This window comes from Homo sapiens, chromosome 20 (genome assembly GCF_000001405.40).
Source record: "Homo sapiens chromosome 20, GRCh38.p14 Primary Assembly".
In the NCBI taxonomy this organism is placed as follows: domain Eukaryota; kingdom Metazoa; phylum Chordata; class Mammalia; order Primates; family Hominidae; genus Homo; species Homo sapiens.
The window spans coordinates 35,039,229-35,063,025 of record NC_000020.11 but is presented as its reverse complement, the minus strand read 5'-3'; the positions used below and the strand labels follow the sequence as shown (position 1 = coordinate 35,063,025).

Here is a 23,797-nt window from a genome sequence, read left to right as displayed (position 1 = left end):
TTACAATTGAAGGTGAGATTTGGGTGAGGGCACACAGCCAAACCATATCACCTGTTACGGATATTTCATATCAACAGAATCGTCCACTGTGTGGCTTTTTATGTCTAGCTTCTATAACTGAGCATGAGGTGTTTTATTGTTTTAAATAATAGCTTTATTGAGATATAATTCATGTCATACAAGTCACCCATTTAAAAGATATATTAAAAGATATAATTCAGTTTTTTAGTATAGTCAGAGTTATATACCACTGTCACCACAATTGATTTTAAAACATTTTCATCACTCCAAAAAAGAAACACCATATTCTTCAGTAGCCACTCCCCATTTCCTCCCAAGGCCTCCCTCCCACATCCTTAGGCAACCACTAATCTACTTTCTGTCTTTATAGATTTAATTATTCTGGACATTTCACATAAATGGAGTCATAACAATACGTGGTCTTTTGTGACTGGCTTCTTTTGCTTAACATAATGTTCTCAAGGTTAATCCGTGTCATAACGTGTATCAATACTCCATTCCTTTTTATTGTCAAGAAATATTCCACTGTATGGATAGACCACATCTTATTTATCCATTCATCAGTTGATGGACATTTGGGTTGTTCCCACTTTTGGCTATTATTAGTAATCTGCTATGATTAATAATGCTGCCATGAACATTGGCATATAAATTTTTAGGTGGACGTGTTTTCATTTTCTATTAGATTGTCTTACTAAAAAATTTCCCTTGGTATATACCTAGAAGTGGAGTTGCTGGTAACTCTGTTTAATTTTTAAGGATCTGCCAGACTGCTTTCTGAAGCAGCTGCACCATTTTACATATCTACCAGCAGTGTATGAAGGTTCTAATTTCTCCACATCTTTGCCAATAGTTACTATTTGTCTTTTTCATTATAACCATCGTAGTAGGTATGAAGAGGTATCTCATTGTGGTTTTGATTTGCATTTCCCTGATGACTAATGTTGATCATCTGTTTATTATTGGACTTTTGGAGAAATGTCTGTTCATCTGCTTTCTCCATTTCTTGATTGGGTTGTCTTTTTATTATTGAGTTGTATTAGTTTCTGGATACTAATTCCTTGTAATTTGCAAATATTTTCCCCCATTAAGTAGCTGTCTTTTCACTCTCTTGATGGTGTCCTTTGAAACACAAAGTCTTTAATTTTGATGAAGTTCATTTTATCTTTTGTTACTTGGGTATTGGTGTGCATCTAAGAAACCATTTCCTAATCCAAGGTCACAAAGATTTACCTATGTATTCTTCTGAGAATTTTATATTTTGTATCTTACATTTAGATCTTTGATCCATTTGCATTGACTTTGTTTATCATGTGAGGCAGGGGTCCAGTTTCATTCTTTTGCATGTGACTATCCAGTTGTCACAGCACCACTTATTGAAAAAACTACTCTTTCATCATTGAATTGTCTTGGCAACCTTGTCAAAAATCAACTGATCATAGACACGGGTTTATTTTTGTATTTACAGATCAAGATTGTTTTGGCTGTTATGCATCCCTTATATTTGCATGTGAATTTCAGGATCAGCTTGCCAATTTCTGCAAAGAAGCCAGCTGAGATTTTGATAGTGATTGCATTGAATTTGTAGGTCAATTTAGGGAGTATTATCATCTTAACAATATTAAATCTTCTGATCCATGAACTACAAGATAGCTTTCCATTTTTTTAGATTGTCTTTAATTTCTTTCAAAAATGTTTTGTTGTACAAGTCTTGCACTTGTTAAACTTATTTCTAAGTGTTTTTACTGTTTTTGATGCTCCTTTAAATGGAATTGTTTTCATAATTCCAGTTTTTTTTGCTTCTTGCTACAATTTTAGAAATACAGTTGATTTATGTATATTGATCACATATCGTGAAATCTTGCTGAACTCTTGCTTATTGGCTCTAATAGTTTTTTTGAGTGGATTCTTTAGGAATTTTCTGTATTCTAGATTGTGACATCTGTAAATAGTTAGTTTTACTTATTCCTTTCCAATTTGGGTGCCTTTAATTTCTTTTTTTATTTTTCTCTAGTTGCCTTAGAACACTCAGTACAATGTTAAATTGAAGTGGCGAGAGTGGACATCTTTGTCTTTTTCCTCATCTTAATGGGAAAGCATTTAGTCTTCACTGTTAAGCGTGATGCTAGCTGTGGGTTTTTTAATAAAAGCCCTTTATCAGGCTGAAGAAGTTCTCTTCTATTCCTTGTTGATTGTTTTATCATGAAAGTGTTTTGGGTTTTTTTTTCCAAACGCTTTTTCTGCATCTGTTGAGATGACCGTGTGGCTTTTGGCTTTTGTCCTTTATTCTATTGATATGGTGTATTATATTGATTTTCATATGTTGAACCAACCTTACATTCCTGGGATAAATTCCACTTTGTCATAGTGTCATGGTGTATAATCCTTTTCTTGTTTTTTTTTTTTTTTTTTTTTTTTTGGAGACAAGGTCTCTCTGTCACCCAGGCTGGAATGCAGTGGTGTGATCACAGCTCACTGCAGCCTCTCCTGGGCTCAAGCGAGCCTCCTATCTCGGCCTCCTGAGTAGCTGGGACTACAGGAGCATGCTACCATGCTTGGCTAATTTTTGGTTTTAATTTTTGTAGAGACAGGGTCTCACTATGTTGCCCAGGCTGGTTGCATACTCTTGGGCTTAAGTAGTCCTCCTGCCTTGACGTCTCAAAGTGCTGGGATTACAGGCATAAGCCATCATGCGTGGAGTATAATCCTTTTTGTATGTGTCTGGATTTTGTTTGCTAGGGTTTTCAGGATTTTTGTGTATATATGCATGAGATACTCATCTGTAGTTTTCTTGTGATGTCTTTGTTTGGTTTTGGTATCAGGGTAATACTCGCCTCAAAGAATGAGTTGGGAAATGTTTCCTTCTCTTCTGTTTTTTGGAAGAGTTTGTGAAGAATTGATCATTCTTTAAATGTCTTGTATTGTTCACCAATGGAGCCATCATGTCCAAGGTTTTTCTTTATGGGTAGTTTTTTGTTATTGTTGTTTTTGTTTGTTTTTTTTTAAATCACTAAGTCAGTCTCTACTTGTTATAGGGCTGTTCAGATGTTCTGTTTTTTCTTCTTCTTCGTCTTCTTCGTCTTTGTCTTCTTCGTCTTCGTCTTCTTCATCTTCATCTTTGTCTTCGTCTTTTCTTCATCTTTTCTTCATCTTCATCTTCGTCTTCTTTGTCTTCATCTTCTTCGTCTTCATCTTTGTCTTCGTCTTCGCCTTCTTCTTCATCTTCTTTGTCTTCGTCGTCTTCTTCGTCTTCTTCTTCTTCGTCGTAGTCTTCTTCCTCTTCTTCTTCTTCTTATTTCTTCTTCTTTCTTCTTCTTCCTTCTTCTTCTTCTTTTTTTTCTTTTAAAGAGATGGAGTCTCACCCTGCCATCCAGGCTGGAGTGTATTGGCATGATCATAGCTCACTGCAGCCTCAACCTTCTGGGCTCAAGTAATCCTCCTGCCTCAGTCTCCCAAGTAGCTGGAACTATAGGCGTACCACCACGCCCAGCTAATTTATTTTATTTGTAGAGACATGGGGTCTTGCTGTGTTGGCCAGGGTGGTCTCAATCTTCTGGCTTCAATCAGTCCTCCCACCTCAGCCGCCCAGAGTCTTGGGATTACAGGCATGAACAACCATGCTCAGCCTCTGTTTCTTCTTAAGTCAGTTTTTAGTTTTATGTCTTTCTAGGAATGTGTCCATTTCGTCTAGGTCATCTAATTTGTTGGCATACAGTTGTTCATAGTAGTTCCTTATAATCACTTTTGTTGCCATAAGGTTGGTGGTAATGCCCTCTCCTTTATTTCTGAGTATAGTAATCTGTATCCTCTCTCCTTTTTTCTTGGTCAGTCTAGTTAAGAATTTGCCAGTCTTCAAAGAGCCAGCTTTTGGTTTTGTTCATTTTCTGTTATTTTCTATTCTCTGTTTCATTTGTTTCAACTCTTATTCTCCCTTTTGCTTGCTTTGGGTTTAGTCTGCTCTTTTTCCAGTGTCTTAAGGTAGAAGATTAGGTTATCGATTAGAAACAATTTTCTTTGGCCGGGTGCGGTGGCTCATGCCTGTAATCCCAGCACTTTGGGAGGTCAAGGTGGGCAGATCACCTGAGGTCAGGAGTTCAAGACCAGCCTGGCCAACATGGCAAAACCTCGTTTCTACTAAAAATACACAAAGTAGCCAGGAGTGGTGGCAGGCACCTGTAATCCCTGCTACTCTGAGGCTGAGGCAGGAGAATCGCTTGAACCCAGGAGGCGGAGGTTGCAGTGAGCCGAGATAGGGCTATTGCACTCCAGCCTGGGAGACAAAGCAAGACTCTGTCTCAAAAAAAAAAAAAAAAAAAAGAATTTTCTTTTAATATAGGCATTTACAGCTATAAATTTCCCTCTGAGCACTCCATTAGCTACATCATAAGTTTTGGTATTTTCATCCTTCTTGGATACTTTATACTTCCCCTTGTGGTTTCTTCTTTGGCCCATTATTATTTAGGATGGGTTTTTAAAATTATCCATATAATTCATGAATTTCCCAAATTTCGTTCTGATTTTAATTTCATTCCATTGTGGCCACACAACATACTGTATGTGATTTAAGTGCTTTTAAATTTATTGAGGCTTGTTCAGTGGCCTGAAATTTGATCTGTCCTGGAGAATGTTTCATGTGCACTTGAGTAGAATGTATACTCTGTTCTTGCTGCATGGAGTGTTCTGTAGATGTCTGTTAGAATATATGTGTTCGTTGTGTTCAAGTCTTCTATTTCTTTGCTCGTCTGCCTAGTTGTCTATTATTGAAAGCAGAGTTATTAACGTGTCCAACTTTTATTTTTAAATTATCTGTTTCCTTCATTTCTGCCAGCTTTTGTTTCATGTATTTTTGGGCTCTATTGTTAGGTACATACATATTTGTAGTTGTTATATCTTTCTAATGGATTGACCCTTTTATCAACTATCCTTTCTCTCCGTAGAATGAATTTTTAAATACATGCTTATTTTAAACAGTTTGTGCAAAATTGTATTAAAGTATGTAAAATAAAAAACACATGCATATAACCCCCAAACCTGTAGAAATCAGTGTTAACAATTTATGGTGTATCTTTTGAGTCCTTTTAAAATAAACTTACAAATGTTCTTTAAACAGAAGAATCATAGTAATAATGTTCTGCAGCTTTTCAGAAATTAAAGCCGCATTAGATCCCAGAGATTACCTAATCTAAAATACTTCTTTTCAAAAATGAGAAAGCTGAGGCCAGAGAAGGGCAAGTAGGTGGCCAAGCTGGGACTAGAACCTGGGTCTCCTGACTTGCTGCAGTCAGGAGCCTTACTGAACCTTAACTGCCTCCTGGAACAAAAGGGTCTTGTAATACTGTGACAGATACATGGGCCATGAATGGTTATGGCAAAATCATTTTATAAGTTATACTTTGAATTAATTTTGAAGATTTTATCTAATTTTTTTTATAGCTTCTTGTAGAAATTCTTATGAGGCCTACGATCTCTATCCGGGGACAGAAACTGAAAAGTAAGTATACCTATTAGCTACTGGTCCTTGTTTTCCAACCTGCCGATACGGTGGCAGTTCCCAGCAGCTGCCTTCTTCCTTCCCTTCCTAACTCTTAATAGTAAGGACATGTCTTACATTTAGCTACAGGTTGCTCTCTCCTCCCCCAGCTAAGCAGCTGTCTTTATTCATTCTGTACTGCGTAGAAATTCAGATCTGGGTTAAGAGAATGCATCTTTGTACTTTTGATAGTCCTGTGATCCAGCTTCTATGTTTCCTTGGGAAATTCTTCTTTCTCACATATAACTAGCTGAGAGAGTAAGATCACTCTGTTTTATTTTTTTTAAACTATTTTTTTTAGAAAGGTGATACATGCTCTTTGTAAAAAGTTCAGGCATTACCAGGGTGTGAATGGTAAAAAGTCAGAGTGTTTTGGTATGCACTATTTCTTAAGCTGGGTGGTAGATATATGGGTAATATTCTATTATTATTTTTTATAACTTACACGTTACAAATAATTCTTTTTAGGTATTCAATTTTTTTTTTTTTGAGACAGTCTCTCGCTCTGTTGCCCAGGCTGGAGTGCAGTGGCATGATCTTGGCTCACTGCAACCTCCGCCTCCTGAGCTCAAGTGATTTTCCTGCCTCACCCTCTCAAGTAGCTGGGATTACAGGCGCCCACCACCATACCCGGCTAATTTTTGTATTTTTTTTTTTAGTAGAGATGGGGTTTCACCATGTTGACCAGGCTGGTCTCGAACTCCTGACCTCAAGTGATCTGCCCACCTCAGCCTCCCAAGTGCTGGGATTACAGGCATGAGCCACCGCACCCAGCTTCGGTATTTAATTTAAAATAAAAAAGTGAATGCACTTTACTCTGGTGTTAAAAGCCAGAGATGACTTCAGTTAATGTTTGGTGAATGCCCTCCTACCAACTTTGCGTTTTTTTAATTTAAAAGATTTTTTTTTTACCCCAATACGACATACTGTATAAGGCCTCATTTGTGCATGCAGTAGTGGTTATTAAGAGGATTTATATTCATTTTTAATGTCTCAGCTGTGTATTCTAACTTGGTCTTTCATGTTCTCTATGTACCCTCATAGCAAGTAGCATATTGTAATTATTTGTTGGTGCACTTGTTTAGTCTCTCTTCTTCCCACTAGATTTATAGGTTCCATGAAGGCTGAGACTTTTTTTCCCTCACCACTGTATCTGCTCTAGAGTAGATGCTGAACAATACTTGATGAATGAGTGAATCCCAATTCCTTTTAAAAATGGAGGATCTAGAAATAGTGAGATATATAGTGAGACATGCAGAGCAGTGTTTCACCCTGCTCTGAAGTCGTTAAATAAATCAATCACAGAGCCCCAGTAGGTTGAAAGGTGGTGATAAGGGATGCAGAGCGTCTGCGTTGTCTCAGGATTATGAGACAACCCATCTAGTCAAGCTAGCTTGGCAGGGCTGCCCATTGGGATCTGAGAAGGAGACCTAGCATTTTAGCATTCCTAGCAGCTTAGGAGTGAATGGAAACAATTTTAAAAAATAGAAGCAAGTGCCAAATAAAGCACTTTGTCCATGGTTCATACTCAGTTTCATCATCTTTTGGTTTTGGGCTCATGAAAATTAAGTTTCGTTTTTATGCTACTTTCCTGTTCCTGCTCACAGGGAAGTAGTAGTTTCTTTATAAGAATTAGTAATAGATCAGACATTAAGAGCCATTTGCCCAACACAGATAACAGCAACAAAAAAAGAAATGCTCAGTTAATGAGTCTGATAAAAATGGTATTTTTGTTTGCTGCAGTAGAACTTTCAATGGAAATTTATAACAAGAGCAATTGAGATGCTTATACTTTTAACTTTTAGCCAGGCGTGGTACACGCGCATGCAGTCCTAGCCACTCGGGAGGGTGAGGAGGGAAAATTGCTTGAGCCTAGGAGTTCGAGACTACAGTGAGCTGTGATTGTGCCCCTGAGTGACAGAGTAAGACCTCATTTAAAAAACCAAAACAAATGAACAAAAAAAAGATGCCTATACTTTAGATTCTAGTAGTTCTACTTTTGAAAATGTATCTTGAGGAACTAGTTTAATACAAACATGAAAAGGATACACATATATATTAAGTTGTTCATTTGTGGTCTACTTAAATAGCCAAAAAACACAAAAAACAAAAAAAACAAATCCTAGATATATCCTAAGCAAGACATTAAGGGAAAATGGCTTTATTAAATGATGGCACAACAACAGGTTGAAATTATGAAGACTGTGGAGCATAATAAGAAAACAGCTGCTGTATCAAACCAAAAGCAATATGCAAATGGGCTTGTAGGTTCTGATGGGCACTATGAAAACCTTTGGTAGACAGGGGCTGGAAGAAGTATATTAAAGGAAAAATAATCATCTTGGAGGGGATTATAACAGTTCTTATGCTGAAAAAAATGTGGTAACTGTTGTACTATCTTTTCATTGAGAAAAATAACCAGTCATTACCCTTTCACTTTCAGTAAGTGATGAAATGTCCAAGGACTGCTTGAGTATCCTGTATAATACCTGTGTCTGTGTAAGTACCCCTGCCACTGGGGCTCTGTTTATCTCCCCTACCAGGTCTGCAATGTTTAAGATGGGAATATTCGAGTAGAATGGCAGACATAAGAGCTGCTTTCAGACAGTGGGGGAATCGGGCTTATTTTATGTGTGCCTGAAAATCAGGACTAACTGGTAGAAATTACGGGGAGGCAGAATTTTGTAGCAGTTGTTAAGAGCCAGGACTGCTGCAGCAGGTAGTAAACTCCTTTGGCCTTAGAGCTGTCCAAGTAGAAACTGGACACTTGTCAAAAGGTGACAAGTGTTGGCAGACTGTGACCTTTAAGACTCATTTTAACTCCATTATGCCTATTTCTTCATTTTCCTTGTTAGAAAACAAAATGAGAACCAGAAGCCCCGCCCATATATTGAGCAGGACTCTACTAGGTTGACCACTGAGCCAGGAAGAATGGTGAATAAAGAAAGCAATCTGGTAGAAACAAAAGAGGATGGCACTTAGTGTTAGGACCTGATTTTGTGTTCTGGCCCTTGGCTTAGTACACCTCCCAAGCCGTAGTTTCTTACCAATAGAATGCAGTTAGCAGTTGTATTAACATCATAGATTTATTGTGAGAAATGAGATAGTAGATGTGAAAACACTTTGTAAAACAATATATAAATGTTAGTTTTTAAAAGATACAGTACCTGTCTTTTAGAAACTTATGATAAACTGTGTAAACTGTGAATCATAATACATGGCAGAATGAGACGAGCGCTATTATAAATGTGAACCCTGTATGCTGTGGAAATAAAAAAAAAAAAACATTTAGCTCCATTTCATTTCTTGCCTCATTCAAAATAAGATTTCTGACATCTTGTGGGTGTATGCAAAATCTACCAAGATCACGAACTTAGAAGCAGGTAAGAAAGAAGAAGATAAAGGTGGGGACATAACGTATAGCCAGGAATTGGGCTGATATAAAAATGAAGACCATAAAATCATCTGTATTACGGATGGGCACAAATTTGGCTTCAAGCTTCTTAGCAGCCAACACAAATAGGGGAATATGTTTGAACACTTACGTAATTCAGCATCTATAATAGTGCTGTGCAATTGAAATATAATGCAAGCCACTTGGGTTATTTTAAATTTCCTTGTAGCCACATTTTTTTAAAGAAAAAAGTAGGAAGAAGTGGTGAAGTTAATTTTAATGATAAATTCTGTTTAACACAGTGTATCAAGAATATTGTCATTCTAACATGTAATCAGTATAATTAATTATTAATGAGATATTTACTTGTTTTTCGTATTGAGCTCTCAAAATCCAATGTGTGTGTGTGTTTTGTTTTTCTTTCCTCTTGTTTGAACACCCAGAGCACATCTTAGTTTGGCCTGGCCACCTTTTAAGTGCTCGGTAGCCATGTATAGCCAATGACAGAGATAGGCACAGGGAGATCTATAAGATAAAATTTCAAATTGTTCAGGAAATGCACAGTTCTTGCAACTAAGGCCAATAAGAAATTGTCCTTATAGAAGAAGACAGTGTATAATATAATGACTCCATCTTTGGCAACTCCATATAGTCACTAGTTTTATGAGGCCGTTTTAAAATCATGATACCTAATGTTAATCAGTGACATTCCAATAAAACAGTTAAGTTAAAAAAATGAAATGTATGAAGAGAAGTTGATTAATGGGTACAAATATATGGGATGATAAATAAGACCTAGTGTTAGATAAATCAGTAAGGGTGACTTAGTTTATAATATTCTGTTCTGTTTTACATTTCAAAATAGCTAGAAGAGAATTTGAATGGTTCTTAGCATAAAGAAAAGACAAGTATTTAAGCTGATGGCTATCCCAAGTACATTGATTTGATTTTTATAAATTATACGAATGTATTAAATTATATGCTCCCTGAAATTATGTACCTTTATTATATATCAACTAAAAGTATTTTTAAATAAAATTTTTTAAAAAATTTGAGGAACATAGGGCGATATGGTTCAATTATGTGCTATCTGGCTGAATTCCATGTTAATGTAGAGAACCTGGGGCTCTCAGGGTTGCAAACACCAATGCCTCCAGGGATCAGGCAGAAAACAGGAAATGTTTGGAATTGCTGGTGTTGGAGTGGGGACTTGTGTAAACTGTGACTAAACTGGAGCAAGTATGTCCTGTCTAAAGATGTTTGAATTCAAAAGTTTAAAAAGTACTGTTGGCCGGGCACGGTGGCTATCACCTGTAATCCCAGCAATTTGGGAGGCTGAGGCGGGTGGATCACTTGAGGTCAGGAGTTCCAGACCAGCCTGGCCAACATGGTGAAACCCCGTCTGTACTAAAAACACAAAAATTAGCCAGGTGTGGTGGTACATGCCTATAGTCCCAGCTACTCAGGAGAGGCAAGAGAATCACTTGAACCCAGCAGGCAGAGGTTGCAGTGAGCTGAGATTGCACCACTGCACTCCAGCGTGGGTGACAGAGTGAGGGTCTCTCAAAAAATAAAAGATAAAAAAATAAACAGTACTGCTCACCAGAAAAAGCTTGGCCTACTGGATGCTAGTTTGTAGCTCCTCATTTAGATACTTGACAGATACTAGGTCAAGAGCTTATGATTAGGCTGGGCGCAGTGGCTCACACCTATAATCTCAACACTTTGATAGGCCGAGGCAGGAGAATTGTGTGTGTCCAGGAGTTCAAGACCAGCCTGGGCAACATAGAACCTGTCTCTACAAAAAATAAAAAACTGGCTGGACGTGGTGTTATATACCATAGTCCCAGCTCCTCAGGAGGCTGAGGTGGGAGGATTGCTTGAGCCTGAGAGGTTAAGGCTGCGGTGAGCCATGATTGTGCCAGTGTACTCACTCAGCCTGGGCTATAGAGTGAGACCCTGTCTCCAAAAAAAAAAAAAAACCAAAAAAAAACCTATGATGAATGTTACATGGAAAAAACTCTCCCCCGAAAAATGTAGTTGCATACAACCTTTTATATATTGTTTTAGTGCTTTTTGGCCTCAGTTAAGAACTTGTGATATAGAGGAAAGGAAGGATTGTGATGGCCTTTTGGGTGGCCACTGTTGACTTGGGAAGGTTTTCCAAGAGGAGTCATTTTAGTCAGTCTGTAAAAGGAGTAGCACTTTGATAAATTGAAGAGAGGAGAAAGGTGGGTAGTCAAGGGTAGCTAGTTAGAGCAGCAGGGTTGTGTATTTGACAGCCTGGAGATAGATTTTTAAGCTTTGAGAAAGTGTAAATTTAGTTCTCTTTTTGTTCTGTTTCTTTGGATCTTCCAGAACTTTTGCTTGTCAGTAAAACTAGAGTCAGTCCTGTTTCACATATCATAGCCAGTGTAGGTACTGTATGTAGTTCGGGAATAACAACCTTTTTTTTTTTTTTTTTTAATGTGTCAGTGCTACGACTGAAGAACCGAAATGTATTAATACAGATGGAGATTGCTTTCTTTAGTGTCCTATTTAATGTGATCGTCAAAGATTTATATACGTGGCACATCTTTATTGATGCCTTCACTTTGAAAATTAAATTTGCCAGGTGCGGTGGTGCACGCCTGTAGTCCCAGTGATTCAGGAGGCTGAGGTGGGGGGATCGCTTGAGCCCAGGTGATTGAGGCTGTAGTGAGCTATATTCGTACTTGTGAATAGTCATGGCCTCAGCCTGGGCAACAGAGTGAGACCCTGTCTCTAAAATTAAAAGAAAGAAAATTAAATTTGTTGCAACATATCTCATTTCACTGATTCTGAAATGCCTCCTAGCTTGGGGTTCCCATTTACCAAACTGTGTGTGTCTGCACTCTTGATTATACTTTTTAAGGAGAAGTCAAGTTTATCGCAGTAAACCTTGGAATTTTTTCAGCTTAGAGGCTAAAAAAAAGAAATATTAAAGTCACTAAGCTCTAGTTGCCTTAAGGCAGTAGGGGTGGGATATATATGTGTGTGTGTGTGTGTGTGTGTGTGTGTGTGTGTGTAAGCTATAGCAGTACTGCAGTTTCTTTCTTTTTAGAGATAGGGTTTCACTCTGTCCCCATGCTGGAATGCAGTGGTGAGACAGATTGTAGCTCACTGCGGCCTCACACTCCTGGCCTCAAGCGGTCCTCTCACCTCAGCCTCCGGGGTAGCTGGGATTACAGGTGTGAGCCACTGCACTTGACAATACTGCAGTTTTAAATCCAAACTCTTGAACCTAAGTTTTAAGGTCTTTTACCAGCTAGTTTCCTTAACTTCCTTCATACCCCTTGGGGGTTTTGTTTTTTTGTTGTTGTTGGTTTTTTTGTTTTGTTTTTTTTTTTGAGTTAGGGTCTCCCTCTGTTGCCAAGGCTAGAGTGCATTTGCACAGTCTAGGCTCACTGCAGCCTCCACCTTCTGGGCTCAAATGATCCTTTTACCTCAGCCTCCTGAGTAGCTAGGACTACAGGCATGCACCACCACACCCAGCTAATATTTATATTTTCAGTAGACAGGGTTTTGGCACGTTGGCCAGGCTGGTCTCGAACTCCTGGCCTCAAGTGATCTGCCCACCTTGGCCTCCCAAAGTGCTGGGGTTACAGGTGTGAGCCACCACGCCTGGCCTCAAAGACTTTTAAGATGATCATTTTACTGATGAAAAAAATGGAGTTCCAAAGGTGAGAAGTGATTTGCTCAGGATCACACAGCTGGAATTAGAACTTAGGTCTGACTCTTAAGTCCATGCTTCGGCACTGTTTGATTTCAGATTTAAGAATGGCCTTCAGAACTCTGAGATAAGTTATTTTAGGAAATACCATCTCATTGTGTTATGTTCTCACAAGTGAGTTCCCACTTGTGTAGCCTGCACGTCAGGAGACTTTTTTCTTCCATAGCTGGGGAGTTAACGAGCGTTTCCCACAGTTAAGCCATGCCATTCCTGTTTTGTTGACTCATGCCAGTTTTCAGAGGTGAAACTGCTTTTCAGTGTCTGTAAAGGATGCCTTGTACTTTCATAATTTATTTTGTACTTACAACCTATTCTGCCTTTTCTTCTTGTGACAGACAGAGGGAGTTACAAAGCGTTTGGCAGAAAAGAATGACTTTGTGATCTTCCTGTTTACATTGATGACAAGTAAGAAGACATTCTTACAAACAGCAACCCTCATTGAAGATATTTTGGGTGTTAAAAAGGTGAGCTGTGTCCTCTAGCTGACCAGATGGGGAAGGGTGTCTCAGACCATTGGATTCTCAAAACTGAATAATATACAGAGCTTTTTTAAAAGAAAGTGTTAAATTATGTCTTGTTACTCAGATGTATTCAAGTATAAAACTTGATTACCCCTTATACTAGTGGTTCTTAAATGACTGTAAAACCTAAACAGACATACATTGAAATCAAACTAATTCTAAAACTCAGAACTTCAGATTGACTCTGTGAATGTAGGGTGATGCCTCATGTTACTTTGCTGAAATCAAATTGCCCCTCACTCATCACCGTTGGGGCAAGTTCTTTGTAGCATGTATGTGCTATTGTATGCTATGCAGTGACTCCATTCTCTTACCACTTTACCGCTATCTGAACTGGTGTGAAGCCTTCATTCATTAGGATATGTTCTCCTTGGTAGTAATGTTTGGCTTTCACTTATGAAGTCCGCCTCTATTTTTTCTCATTAGTCTTCAACAATTAAAGTTGGTTAATTGGCACCAGCGCAGTAGGAGACAAATGGGAGCTCTGAAATCCTGCCACTTGGTCATAAGGTTAATATTCGGATGACCCATAACTTTAAAAAAAAAAAAAAACAGCTATGATCGAAATGAAAACTAAATTAAAAATTTCAAGAATTCACAGATACCCAAAAATACATTCATAGATCTCTGTTAGAGACTTACTGTGTTACATTTTTGGTGTAATGCTTGTTAGGACCTGGAGCTCACCTCCCCAGTCCTAATCTGTCCTGAGCCTCCATGTTGGTTGCTGGTTGGCAGATTTCTTTCTCTTCCTGTTGAGCAGCCTCCTAGAGGTTGCTGTTGCAGGGAGGTGGATGTTCATGTGCACTGTGGTGAACCCAGCGTTCATTTCTTCTTGCTGTGCTTTCCCCAGGCCTTGCTTGTCATTGCCCAGCACAAGTGGCCTATTGTCTGTAGGAACACATTGGAGATGTGTGCAGGCCCCAGACAGACCCTTTGTGCCCTTTGATAAAAAGGCTTTGTTGTTATTCCAGTAATTGTGTGTTCCAGCCAGTGTGTGAAAGGGGACCTCCAGAGTGGAAACTCCAGACTCCTTAGCAGTCTCAGCATAGGAGTCTAGAAGTGCTCCTTCACAACTTTTCCCACTTGCCTCTCACTCCCTCTCATTCCTTTTTGTGTACCCCAAAATGGCGAGGTGTTCCACCAAACATTATGGGTATCTTGGTGCAGTTTGAAAGGGGGATAGATACCATAAAGAAAGTGGAAACACCATAAACTGGGAAAAGACATTTGAATTCAGGTAACCAACAAAGGATTTGTTGTATTCAGAATTTATCAATAATTCTTACAGGCCAGGCACGGTGGCTCATGCCTGTAATTCCAACACTTTGGGAGGCTGAGGCAGGCAGATCTCTTGAGGTCAGGAGTTTGAGAACAGCCTGGCCATCATGGCAAAACCCAGTCTCATTTTGTACTAAAAAATACAAAAATTAGCCAGGCATGGTGGTGCACACCTGTAGTCCCAGCTACTTGGGAGGCTAAGGCATGAGAATTGCTTGAACCCGGGAGGCAGAGGTTGCAGTGAGCCAAGATTATGTCACTGCACTCCAGCCTGGGCAACAGAGCAAGACTCCCTCTCAAAAAAAAAAAAAAAAACAGAATTCTTACAAATCAGCATGAAAAAGAGAAATAGCCCAGTAGACAAATGGGCAATGTTATGAACAAGCATTTCACAGACAAGAAAGAAATGGTCCATAAACATAAAAGAGAAGATGTTTAACTTGATTGGCAATCAAGGAAATGCAAATCAATACCATAGTGAGGGAGAGAGTGGGCAAATGTTGGTGAGTGTGTGTATCAGTGGAAACACTTGTATACTACTGATAAATGTTTATCAGCAGAATATCCTCTTTTTTTTTGTTTTGTAGTTGAACAGGCACATATCTTGTGCCCCAGCACCTAGGGAAGCTTTACCCTGAGGGCTGAGGCATCAGTATTTTGCCATGGGTTACCTATAACCTGTGCCTGGACACACTTGTGGGGAAGCTCAGTCCTAGAACAGTGATTCTTAGGATTGAAACCCAGAAGGTTGTAAAGTCAGTCCATCGGGTCTACCAGCCAAGTAGAAAAGATCAAACTGTATTGTGTAAGGGTATTTTTTGAATAAGTTTTTGTTTGACATTTCTATATACATTCCAATATGTATGTTTACTGGTGGTCGTTCTTGGTGATAGCTAAAAAGTTTAGAAGCCACTGCCCCAGCAAAAACTTCTCCACCTGTGCATCAAGAAACACATAAGAACATTTGTAGCTTCGTTGTTTCAGAACAAAAAACTGAAACCAAGTCTCTGATCCATGAATAGGAGAAGGGATGAATGTACTTTCTTCACACAATGGAATATTATATAGTAGAAATGAATGAACTGTTGCCATAGGCAACAACATAGCTGAGTAATTGAAATAATCGAGTGGTAGAAGCCAGTTGCAGAACACTGTAGGTAGTATATCATTTTCATAAAGCTCAAAAAAGCAAATTATTTGTTGATAAAACTAGTTTTTAAATGGCAAGGCAATAATAATTAATGATGGTGGTTCCCAGAGGCAGAGAGATGCAATAGGAAAGGCACACACAGCTAGTCATTTTGTTGTGCTGCATAATACGTATTGTACATATCAAAAATTAAAACATAAGAAGTAAATTCTTGGCCAGCCACAGTGGCTCTCATGCCTGTAATCCCAGCACTTTGTGAGGCCGAGGTGGGCAGATCACTTGAGGTCAGGAGACCAGCCTGGCCAACAGGGTGAAACCCTGTCTCTACTAAAAATATAAAAATTAGCCCAGCATGGTGGTGCATGCCTGTAGTCCCAGCTACTTGGGAGGCTGGGACAGAAAAATTGCTTGAACCCAGGAGGCAGAGGTTGCAGTGAGCAGAGATTGTGCCATTGCGCTCTGGCCTGGGCATCACAGTGAGACTCCGCCTTAAAAAAAAAAATCTTAAAATTTAAGACAAAACAAAAAACCATAAGAAGTGGGCTGGGGGTGGTGGGACCTGTTTTGGGAACCATATACTGAGTTAGACAGGGCTAGAGGAACTGGTGAGCTACAAGTTACAGTTGCCAATAATAGTAGTAGCTTACATTTGTTTTGTACTAGGGAAAAGGAAAAGTGGAAGCAGTTGTTCCCCAATGCCCCCTGCACAGCAAATTCCTGTCCTCCATTACTAGAAATAGAGGCGAGTATGGGATTCATGAGAGCTTCTAGGAATCATGCACTCGTTTTGGGCACATTCACTGATACCCTTGCTACCAGGTCCTGTGCATTGAGTCTCAGGAGAAAGGGTAGGATATATGCCTTCATCAAAGTATGGTCAGATTATTTGGGAAATAGATGCAGGAACAGATTATTAAAAGTTCATGTGATCTGTGCAGTGAAAGAGAAACACCCAATCCAGTGGAAGTAAATTAGTGGGATGAAGGATAGCAGGTGTTATCTGAGTAGCACGGGGATGGTTCAAAATGAGAAAAGTTGATGTAGTACATGCCATTTACAGATTTTAAGGAGTAATGAGTGAGAATAGAACCAAATAGCACAAGGCATTCCATAAAATTATCATTCTTAATAAAAGCTAGCAATAGAAGGAAAACTTATAAACTATATATAGGGTATTTATTAAAATTTAACTTATAGGATATTAAAATTTACAGCAAATATTGAACTTAATTTTAATGTTTTGGAATTATTTCTGGTAAAGTCAAGAAAAAGACAAGAATTCTTGCTCTCACTCTGGATAAATGGTCACATACATGTGTACACAGAGAGTACCTGTAAGAATGTTCATTGCAACATTGTTTAATAGTGAAAAACTGTAGTTTACCTAAATATGTATTAAAAGAAGAAAGGGTCAGGCACAGTGGCTCATACATGTAATCCCAGCAGTTTAGGAGGCCAAGGTGGGAGGATTGCTTGAGTCCAGGAGTTCCAGCCTGGGCAACAATAGTGAGACCCTGTCTCCATAAAAATAAAGTATTGGCCAGGCGTGGTAGCTCACGCTTGTAATCCCAGCACTTTGGGAGGCCAAGGTGGATGGATCATCTGAGGTCAGGAGTTCAAGACCAGCCTGGCCAACATGGTGAAACCCCATCTCTACTAAAAAATACAAAAATTAGCCAGGCGTGGTGGCGGGCGCCTGTAATCCCCACTACTTGGGAGGCTGAGGCAGGAGAATCACTTGAACCCAGGAGGTGGAGTTTGCAGTGAGTCAAGATTGCGCCACTGCACTCCAGCCTGGGCGACAATGAGATACCATCTCAAAAAAAAAAATATTAAAAAAGTAGCCAGGTGTAATGACACGCACCTGTAGTCCTAGCTACTTGGGAAGCTGAGGTAGGAGGATTGCTTGGGCCTAGGAGTTTGAGTCTGCAGTAAGCTATGATGACACTACTGCTCCGCAGCTTGAGCAACAGAGTGAGACCCTGTCTCTTAAAAGAGAGAGATGATTAAACTGTGGGGTAAAACGGCGGGAAGTGATTGAATCAGCTGCTTGTATCAGTGTAGATAAACTTCAAAATGTTGGATGAAAAGTAAGGTATAGTATGGTATCATTCACACTGTGCATGCAGAGCAGTAACATGTATTTTAATGGAAATATTTGTAAGTATAAAAACATGCACGGGAATAATAAACACAGAGTTCAAAATAATGTTTACGTCTGCAGGGAGAGAAAAAAATGCGACTGGATGGGGGATACACAGAGGCCTTTAGCTATATTTGAAGTATTTTATTTTTTAAAAAAGCAAATCTGTAGCAAGAATGGTAATTTATGATTTCCAAAACTTGAGTGGTAGGCATTTCCTTTTTTTTTAAATAGGCAAAATATACCACAAGAACAATTGAAAACAGTGGTGCTCAAAAGGTAAATTTAGTCCTCAGACTAATCCTGTGAGGTAGATTAGTTCCGTTTTACAGATAAACAAGCAAAGACTCGAAAGGTTTTTGTAACTTAACCAAAGTTTCAGAGCTGCAAGTTACAGAGCTGGGATAGGAACCTAAGTGATCTAGCCACTAAGCCCCGTATGTAAGGGGATGCGAAAGAGAGGCACATCCAATCTCTTGAGTGAATTGAGCATGGGGATTGTTTCATTTTTGTCTTCTGTAGGAAATGATCCGACTAGATGAAGTCCCCAATCTGAGTTCCTTAGTATCCAATTTCGATCAGCAGCAGCTCGCTAATTTCTGCCGGATTCTGGCTGTCACCATTTCAGAGATGGATACAGGGAATGATGACAAGCACACGCTTCTTGCCAAAAATGCTCAACAGAAGAAGAGCTTGAGTTTGGGGCCTTCTGCAGCTGAAATCAATCAAGGTAAAGTCTCCAAGTTCTCAGAATTTTGAGATTATAGCTCTGAGGCCCTTACTAAATCATCTAGTTTTTTTTCTTTTTCTTTTCTTTTCTTTTTTTTTTTTTTTCCTTTTTTGAGATGGGATCGTCACTATGTCACCCAGGCAGGAGTGCAGTGGCACAATCGTGGCTCACTGCAGCCTTGACCTCCCCAGGCTCAGGTGATCCTCCCACCTCAGCCACCTGAGTAGCTGGAACTATAGGCAGGTGCCACCACACCGGGCTAATTTTTGTATTTTTTGTAGAGATGGGGTTTCGCCATGTTGCCCAGGCTGGTCTTGACTTCCTGGTCTCAAGTGATCCACCCACCTCATCTTCCCGAAGTGCTAGAATTACAGGTGTGAGCCACCACACCTAGCACCCCTTTTAAATATCTCTAGAGATGGATCCATGTGAAGGCTCCTAGTATGTAAATTTTGTGTATCTGTTCATTATTTTGGGAACTGAGTTCCATACCTTTCATTAGATTTGTTAATGGGCTCAGAACCACAAAAAAAGTTAAGAACTACTTTTTATCAGAATTACAAATGCATATACTTTTTGATCTACTAAGTCTCTCCTGGGCCTTCATTTTATAGATAATGATGTATAGACACTAATCTCCTCTTGTCTGCAGTTTCACTTTCTGTGGTTTCAGTTATCCGTGGTCAACTGCAATCCGAAAATATTAACTGAAAAATTCCAGAGAGAGACCACATTCGTATAACTCTTATTACAGCATCTTGTTACAATTGTTCTATTTTATCATTAGTTATTGTTAATCTCTTAGTGTACCTAATTTATAAATTAAGCTTTATCATAGTTATGTGTGTATATAAGAAAAAACATAGTATATATAGGGTTTGGTGCTATCTGCCATTTCAGGTATCCACTGTGAGGGTCTTGACTAAGGGAGGACTACTGTACAAGATTATTCACTGAGGCCAGGCACGGTGGCTTAACGCCTGTAATCCCAGCACTTTGGGAGGCCGAGGCAGGAGGATCACTTGAGGTTCAGAGTTTGAGACCAGCCTGGCCAACATGGCGAAACCCCATCTCTACTAAAAATACAAAAATTAGCTGGGTGTGGTGGTGCACGCCTGTAGTCCCAGTTACTCAGAAGGCTGAGGCAGGATAATTGCTTGAACCCAGGAGGCAGAGGTTGCTGTGAGCCCAGATTGCACCACTGCACTTCAGCCTGGGCGACATAATTAGACTCCGTCTCAAAAAAAAAAAAAAAAATTATTCATTGCAACATTATTTGTAATAACAAAAGACTAGAAACCCAGATGTTCATTAACACTGGACTGCTTAGTGTATTCAATATTTATATAATGGAAAATTGTGTAGCTTTGAAAAAATGAAGATCTCTATGTACTGCTATAGAAAAATCTCCAAGATATATTAATGATAAAGAGGAAAATACAGAACAGTGTGTATATGGTATAGTTTTTGTATTAAGTCAGGGGGAGAATAAGACCATACGTTTGCCCACATATATGGTATGCCTAAAGAAACAAAGGGTACACAAGAAACATAAAGTGGTTATTAATAGGAAGTAGCTGGTAAGGGAAGGTAGTAGCAGTGGGAGTGGGACTCCTTACTGTATACTTTCATATATTGTTTGATTTTAGAACCGTGTAAATATATTACTTAAAAACAAAACACTATTCTAACCAATCTAGCCCACCTATTTCTGTTCAGTAGCAAAAGAACTGTGTTCTATCTAAAATGTTGTTGCCTGCACAGATTTTGGAGAAACTGGCATAGATGTATTTTGGTCATAAGAGTGTAGATAATTCATATTTGAACTGAAACTTGTGTCTTAAAAGCTAGTTTTTCAATGTTAACAGGCTGGAAATATTGTTAATACAAAAACCTATCACTGTGTACCTTATGGTACACCAAATAAACAAGGTAAAATTATACAAATGTATCATTAAAAAGCAGCAGTAGAAAACCATGACCATGCAGAGGTAGCCCTAATCATGCTCTGAAAACAGTTCTTTGTTTCTAAAGTCCAGTTGTGTGCATTCCCCAGGCTGGCTCTGCAGAGTTATCAAGTGCTTCAGAGCAGCCTCCTCTCCTGAGGCTGAATATGAACCTGCCATTCACTCTGTTATTGTCTAGTTTTAGTTAGGAACATGAGGTGATCATAACTATACTTTGTAGGTTATTAGGGAATATAATTTTACATGTTGTAGTCATATGTAAAGGTAGAAGTTTGTGGACTCCAACCCCAGTTTATTCTCTCTCTAGATTTGCTTTTCCTCCTGTGTCACTAGATACAAGGTCTTCCTTGGTCTGTGTACGGTTTTCTTCCCACTCCTTTATGATTTTGGGGGAGTTCTCATTTTAGGAAATTTACATTTTTAAAAAATATGTGACTTTCCAACATGGCACATATATACATATGTAACAAACCTGCACGTTGTGCACATGTACCCTAGAACTTAAAGTATAATTTTAAAAAAAGTGACTTTCATTATAACTAAATTATACCTCAGAGCTGGTGTACACACCTCCATATACATTGACAAAAGGTAGTATTTGCTAAGCTCCTGGTATGTGGCAAACGCTGGGTAACTGCTTTACCTAGAAGTGATTTTATTTAATCCTTCAAGTGCCCTGTGGAATAGAGATTAGTATCCCCATTGCACATGTGAGGAAACTGAGGGCTAGAAAGGTTCTGTATTGGATGCCTGTGTATGCCGAGGCACTAAGTAACTTTCATCTTTTAGTTTCCCATTTAAGGAATCTATTCTGGCAGATGATTTTGATCCTGTTAGTATTGATTGCTTTCAGATGCCTATTTGTAAACTGACTTAAGTAAAACCAGCATTACCCATTATTCTTGAGGAATGAACTGTTCTGGTCAGCTGGGCTTTTTTGATTAACTGAGAACGGAAAGCCCAGTTTTTGTTTTTGTTTTTTTATTTGGGAGTTTTTTCTTAAAGTCTCTATAAAATAATCTAGATTCACTTTCATATCTGTGTGACTAGCCTAGTAGACAGTCTATGTGTGATTCTGCTTGTAGCTTTTGGGATAAAGCCTAAAAGTTGTAGTTCCACACATGAGGTTGTGCAGGATCTGACCCTTCCCAACCCTGACCATAATTCCTACTCCATTCCCTTACCCGCACGATTTTCTCCATTCAAATGCCCTGGGAAGGCCAAGCTGGTGGACATAATTAAATCACGAGTGGATGAGGAAAGTCTTAGTCCTCTGAATGTTATCATTCTTGAATTGCGCTCCAGTAGTGAATGCCTTTATCTCAGGTGTGTGTATCAGTCAGCTTGAGCTGCCATAACAAGGTACCGTAGACTAGGTGGCTTAACTAACAGACATTTATTTTTCTCACAGTTCTGGAGGCTAGAAGTCCAAGATCAAGGTGCTGTCAGGATTGGTTCCTGGTTGAGGCCTTTCTTCCTGGCTTGTAGAAGGCCACCTTTTTATTGTATCCACATATGAATTTTCCTCTCTGTCATTGAGGAGAGACGGAGATCTCTGGTGTCTCTTCCTCTTCTTAGAAGGACACCAGTCCTCTCGGTTTAGGGCCCCACACTTTGTAACCTCATTTAACCTTAATTACTTCCCTGTATTAGGCAGCAGTCTCCAGAGAGACAGAAGCAGTAGGATTTATGAGGTGGGATTTGTTAGGGGAATTGGCTCACACGATCACAGGCGGAGGAGTCCCATGATAAGCCATCTGCGACAAAAATTAGCTGGGCATGGTGACACGCCTGTAATCCCAACAACCTGGGAGGCTGAAGCAGGAGAATTGCTTGAACCCAGGAGGCAGAGGTTGCAGTGAGCTGAGATTGTGCCATTGCACTCCAGCCTGGGCAACGAGTGAAACTCCGTCTCCAAAAATAAATAAATAAAATAAAAGATAAGCCGTCTGCAAGCTGGAGAACCTGAGAAGCCATTAGCATGGCTCAGTCCAAGTCCGGAAAACTTAGAACCAGGAAAGCTAATGGTGTAGCTCCCCGGCTGGAGGACCCCAGAAACTGCTGGTGCAAGTCTCAGAGACCAAAAGCCAAAGATCCTGGAGTCTGATATCCAAGAGCAGTAGGAGAAAAACTTCCCACTCCAGAAGGGGGAGAATCCCTTTTTGTTTTCCTCCATCGCCTCCCACTGCTCCCCCACCAATTGGATGGTGCCTGCCCACATTGAGGGCAGATTTTCCCTTAGTTCACACACTCATACACCAATCTCTTCTGGAATCACCTTCACAGACACACCCAGAAACAGTGCTGTGCCAGCCATGTAGGCATCCCATAGTCCAGTCAAGTTGACAGCTAAAATTAACCATCACACCACCGCATTCCCTAAAGGGCCTGTTTCAAAACGCAGTCATATTTAGGGCTAGAGCTTCAACGTATGAATTTGTGGGGGCGCGGGGGGTGGGGACACAGTCCATAACTGTATGGAAAGCTGAAATATGTAGGATGTTGCCAAAAAGTTTTCGTTTCGTTTTTAATAAACTGTGGCTGTGAGGTCATTTTCTTGTCTAGCAAAAATAATGATTTACACTATCTTCCTGGGGCTCAGATAATTTACATGTAATTATCTAATGTAAATTATCTGAGCCCCAGGAAGATAGCGTAAGTCATTATTTTTTGAGATTCATTTTAAAATAAATAATTATTTTTTGAGTCCTTTTTGAGATTCTCAGAACTACCAGTTGTTCTTCTGTCGATTTAGAAGAGAACAGCTGGTTTCCTTCTGGGGGAAAGTAACGTCTTTCAAGATTCTTAGCAGAGATGTAAATGAAGCTATAGGCTAGATAATTGTCAATTTATAAGTGACACTTAGCTGAGAGGGGCTGAATTATGCAGCACATGAAGCTGGAAAGCAGGAGGGGAAACTACAGGAGTATGGGGGGAATACTGATGTTTCAACAGTGAGAAGAGAGAAGAGGCCTGCTTCTGCAGAAATTCTCAGGGGTTGTGAGTGATTTAGTTGTCAGTTTAACATTAACCAGCCAGGTGTGGTAGCTACTGATAAAGCTGTGAGAATTACAAGGACTGGATATGCTGGGATGTCAGCCCATGAGATTGTGTATGAGTTGCTAGGTATGATTGGTCCAGTGAATTTTTTTCTGGGGAGAAGGTCTTAGCTTTTATTAGCTTTTCAAGAGGTGAGTGACTCACAACAGCTCAAGAATCTCAGGTGGGAAGTCAGACTTAGAACCCTGAGTACCGGGCACTTCCCATCTGGAGGAGTGTGTTGAGTGTGCAGGAATGGGGAAGACTAGC

General features: G+C 39.5%; 1 protein-coding gene across 11 annotated transcripts in view, besides 1 other annotated feature; it reads left to right on the top strand.

The window, feature by feature from the left end:
- Positions 1-23,797, top strand: part of TRPC4AP (transient receptor potential cation channel subfamily C member 4 associated protein) — a 90,404-nt gene that overhangs the window by 29,782 nt on the left and 36,825 nt on the right. For 9 of the 11 annotated variants that reach the window (XM_047440096.1, NM_199368.2, XM_047440095.1 and 6 more), the window contains exons 4-7: positions 5,455-5,512; positions 7,995-8,050; positions 13,032-13,160; positions 18,314-18,521. In XM_047440096.1, the coding sequence (XP_047296052.1) occupies positions 5,455-5,512; positions 7,995-8,050; positions 13,032-13,160; positions 18,314-18,521 (451 nt within the window). Of the gene's footprint in view, positions 1-5,454; positions 5,513-7,994; positions 8,051-13,031; positions 13,161-18,313; positions 18,522-23,797 lie in introns of those variants that run through there. The other 2 variants (XM_047440102.1, XM_047440101.1) reach the window with 1 other exon arrangement.
- Positions 7,029-7,138: an enhancer, noted in NCBI's record as "active region_17772". NCBI's record gives its function as "activates an Ori minimal core promoter by ATAC-STARR-seq in GM12878 lymphoblastoid cells {active_cell/tissue: GM12878}" and the evidence as "EXISTENCE:reporter gene assay evidence [ECO:0000049][PMID:35858748]".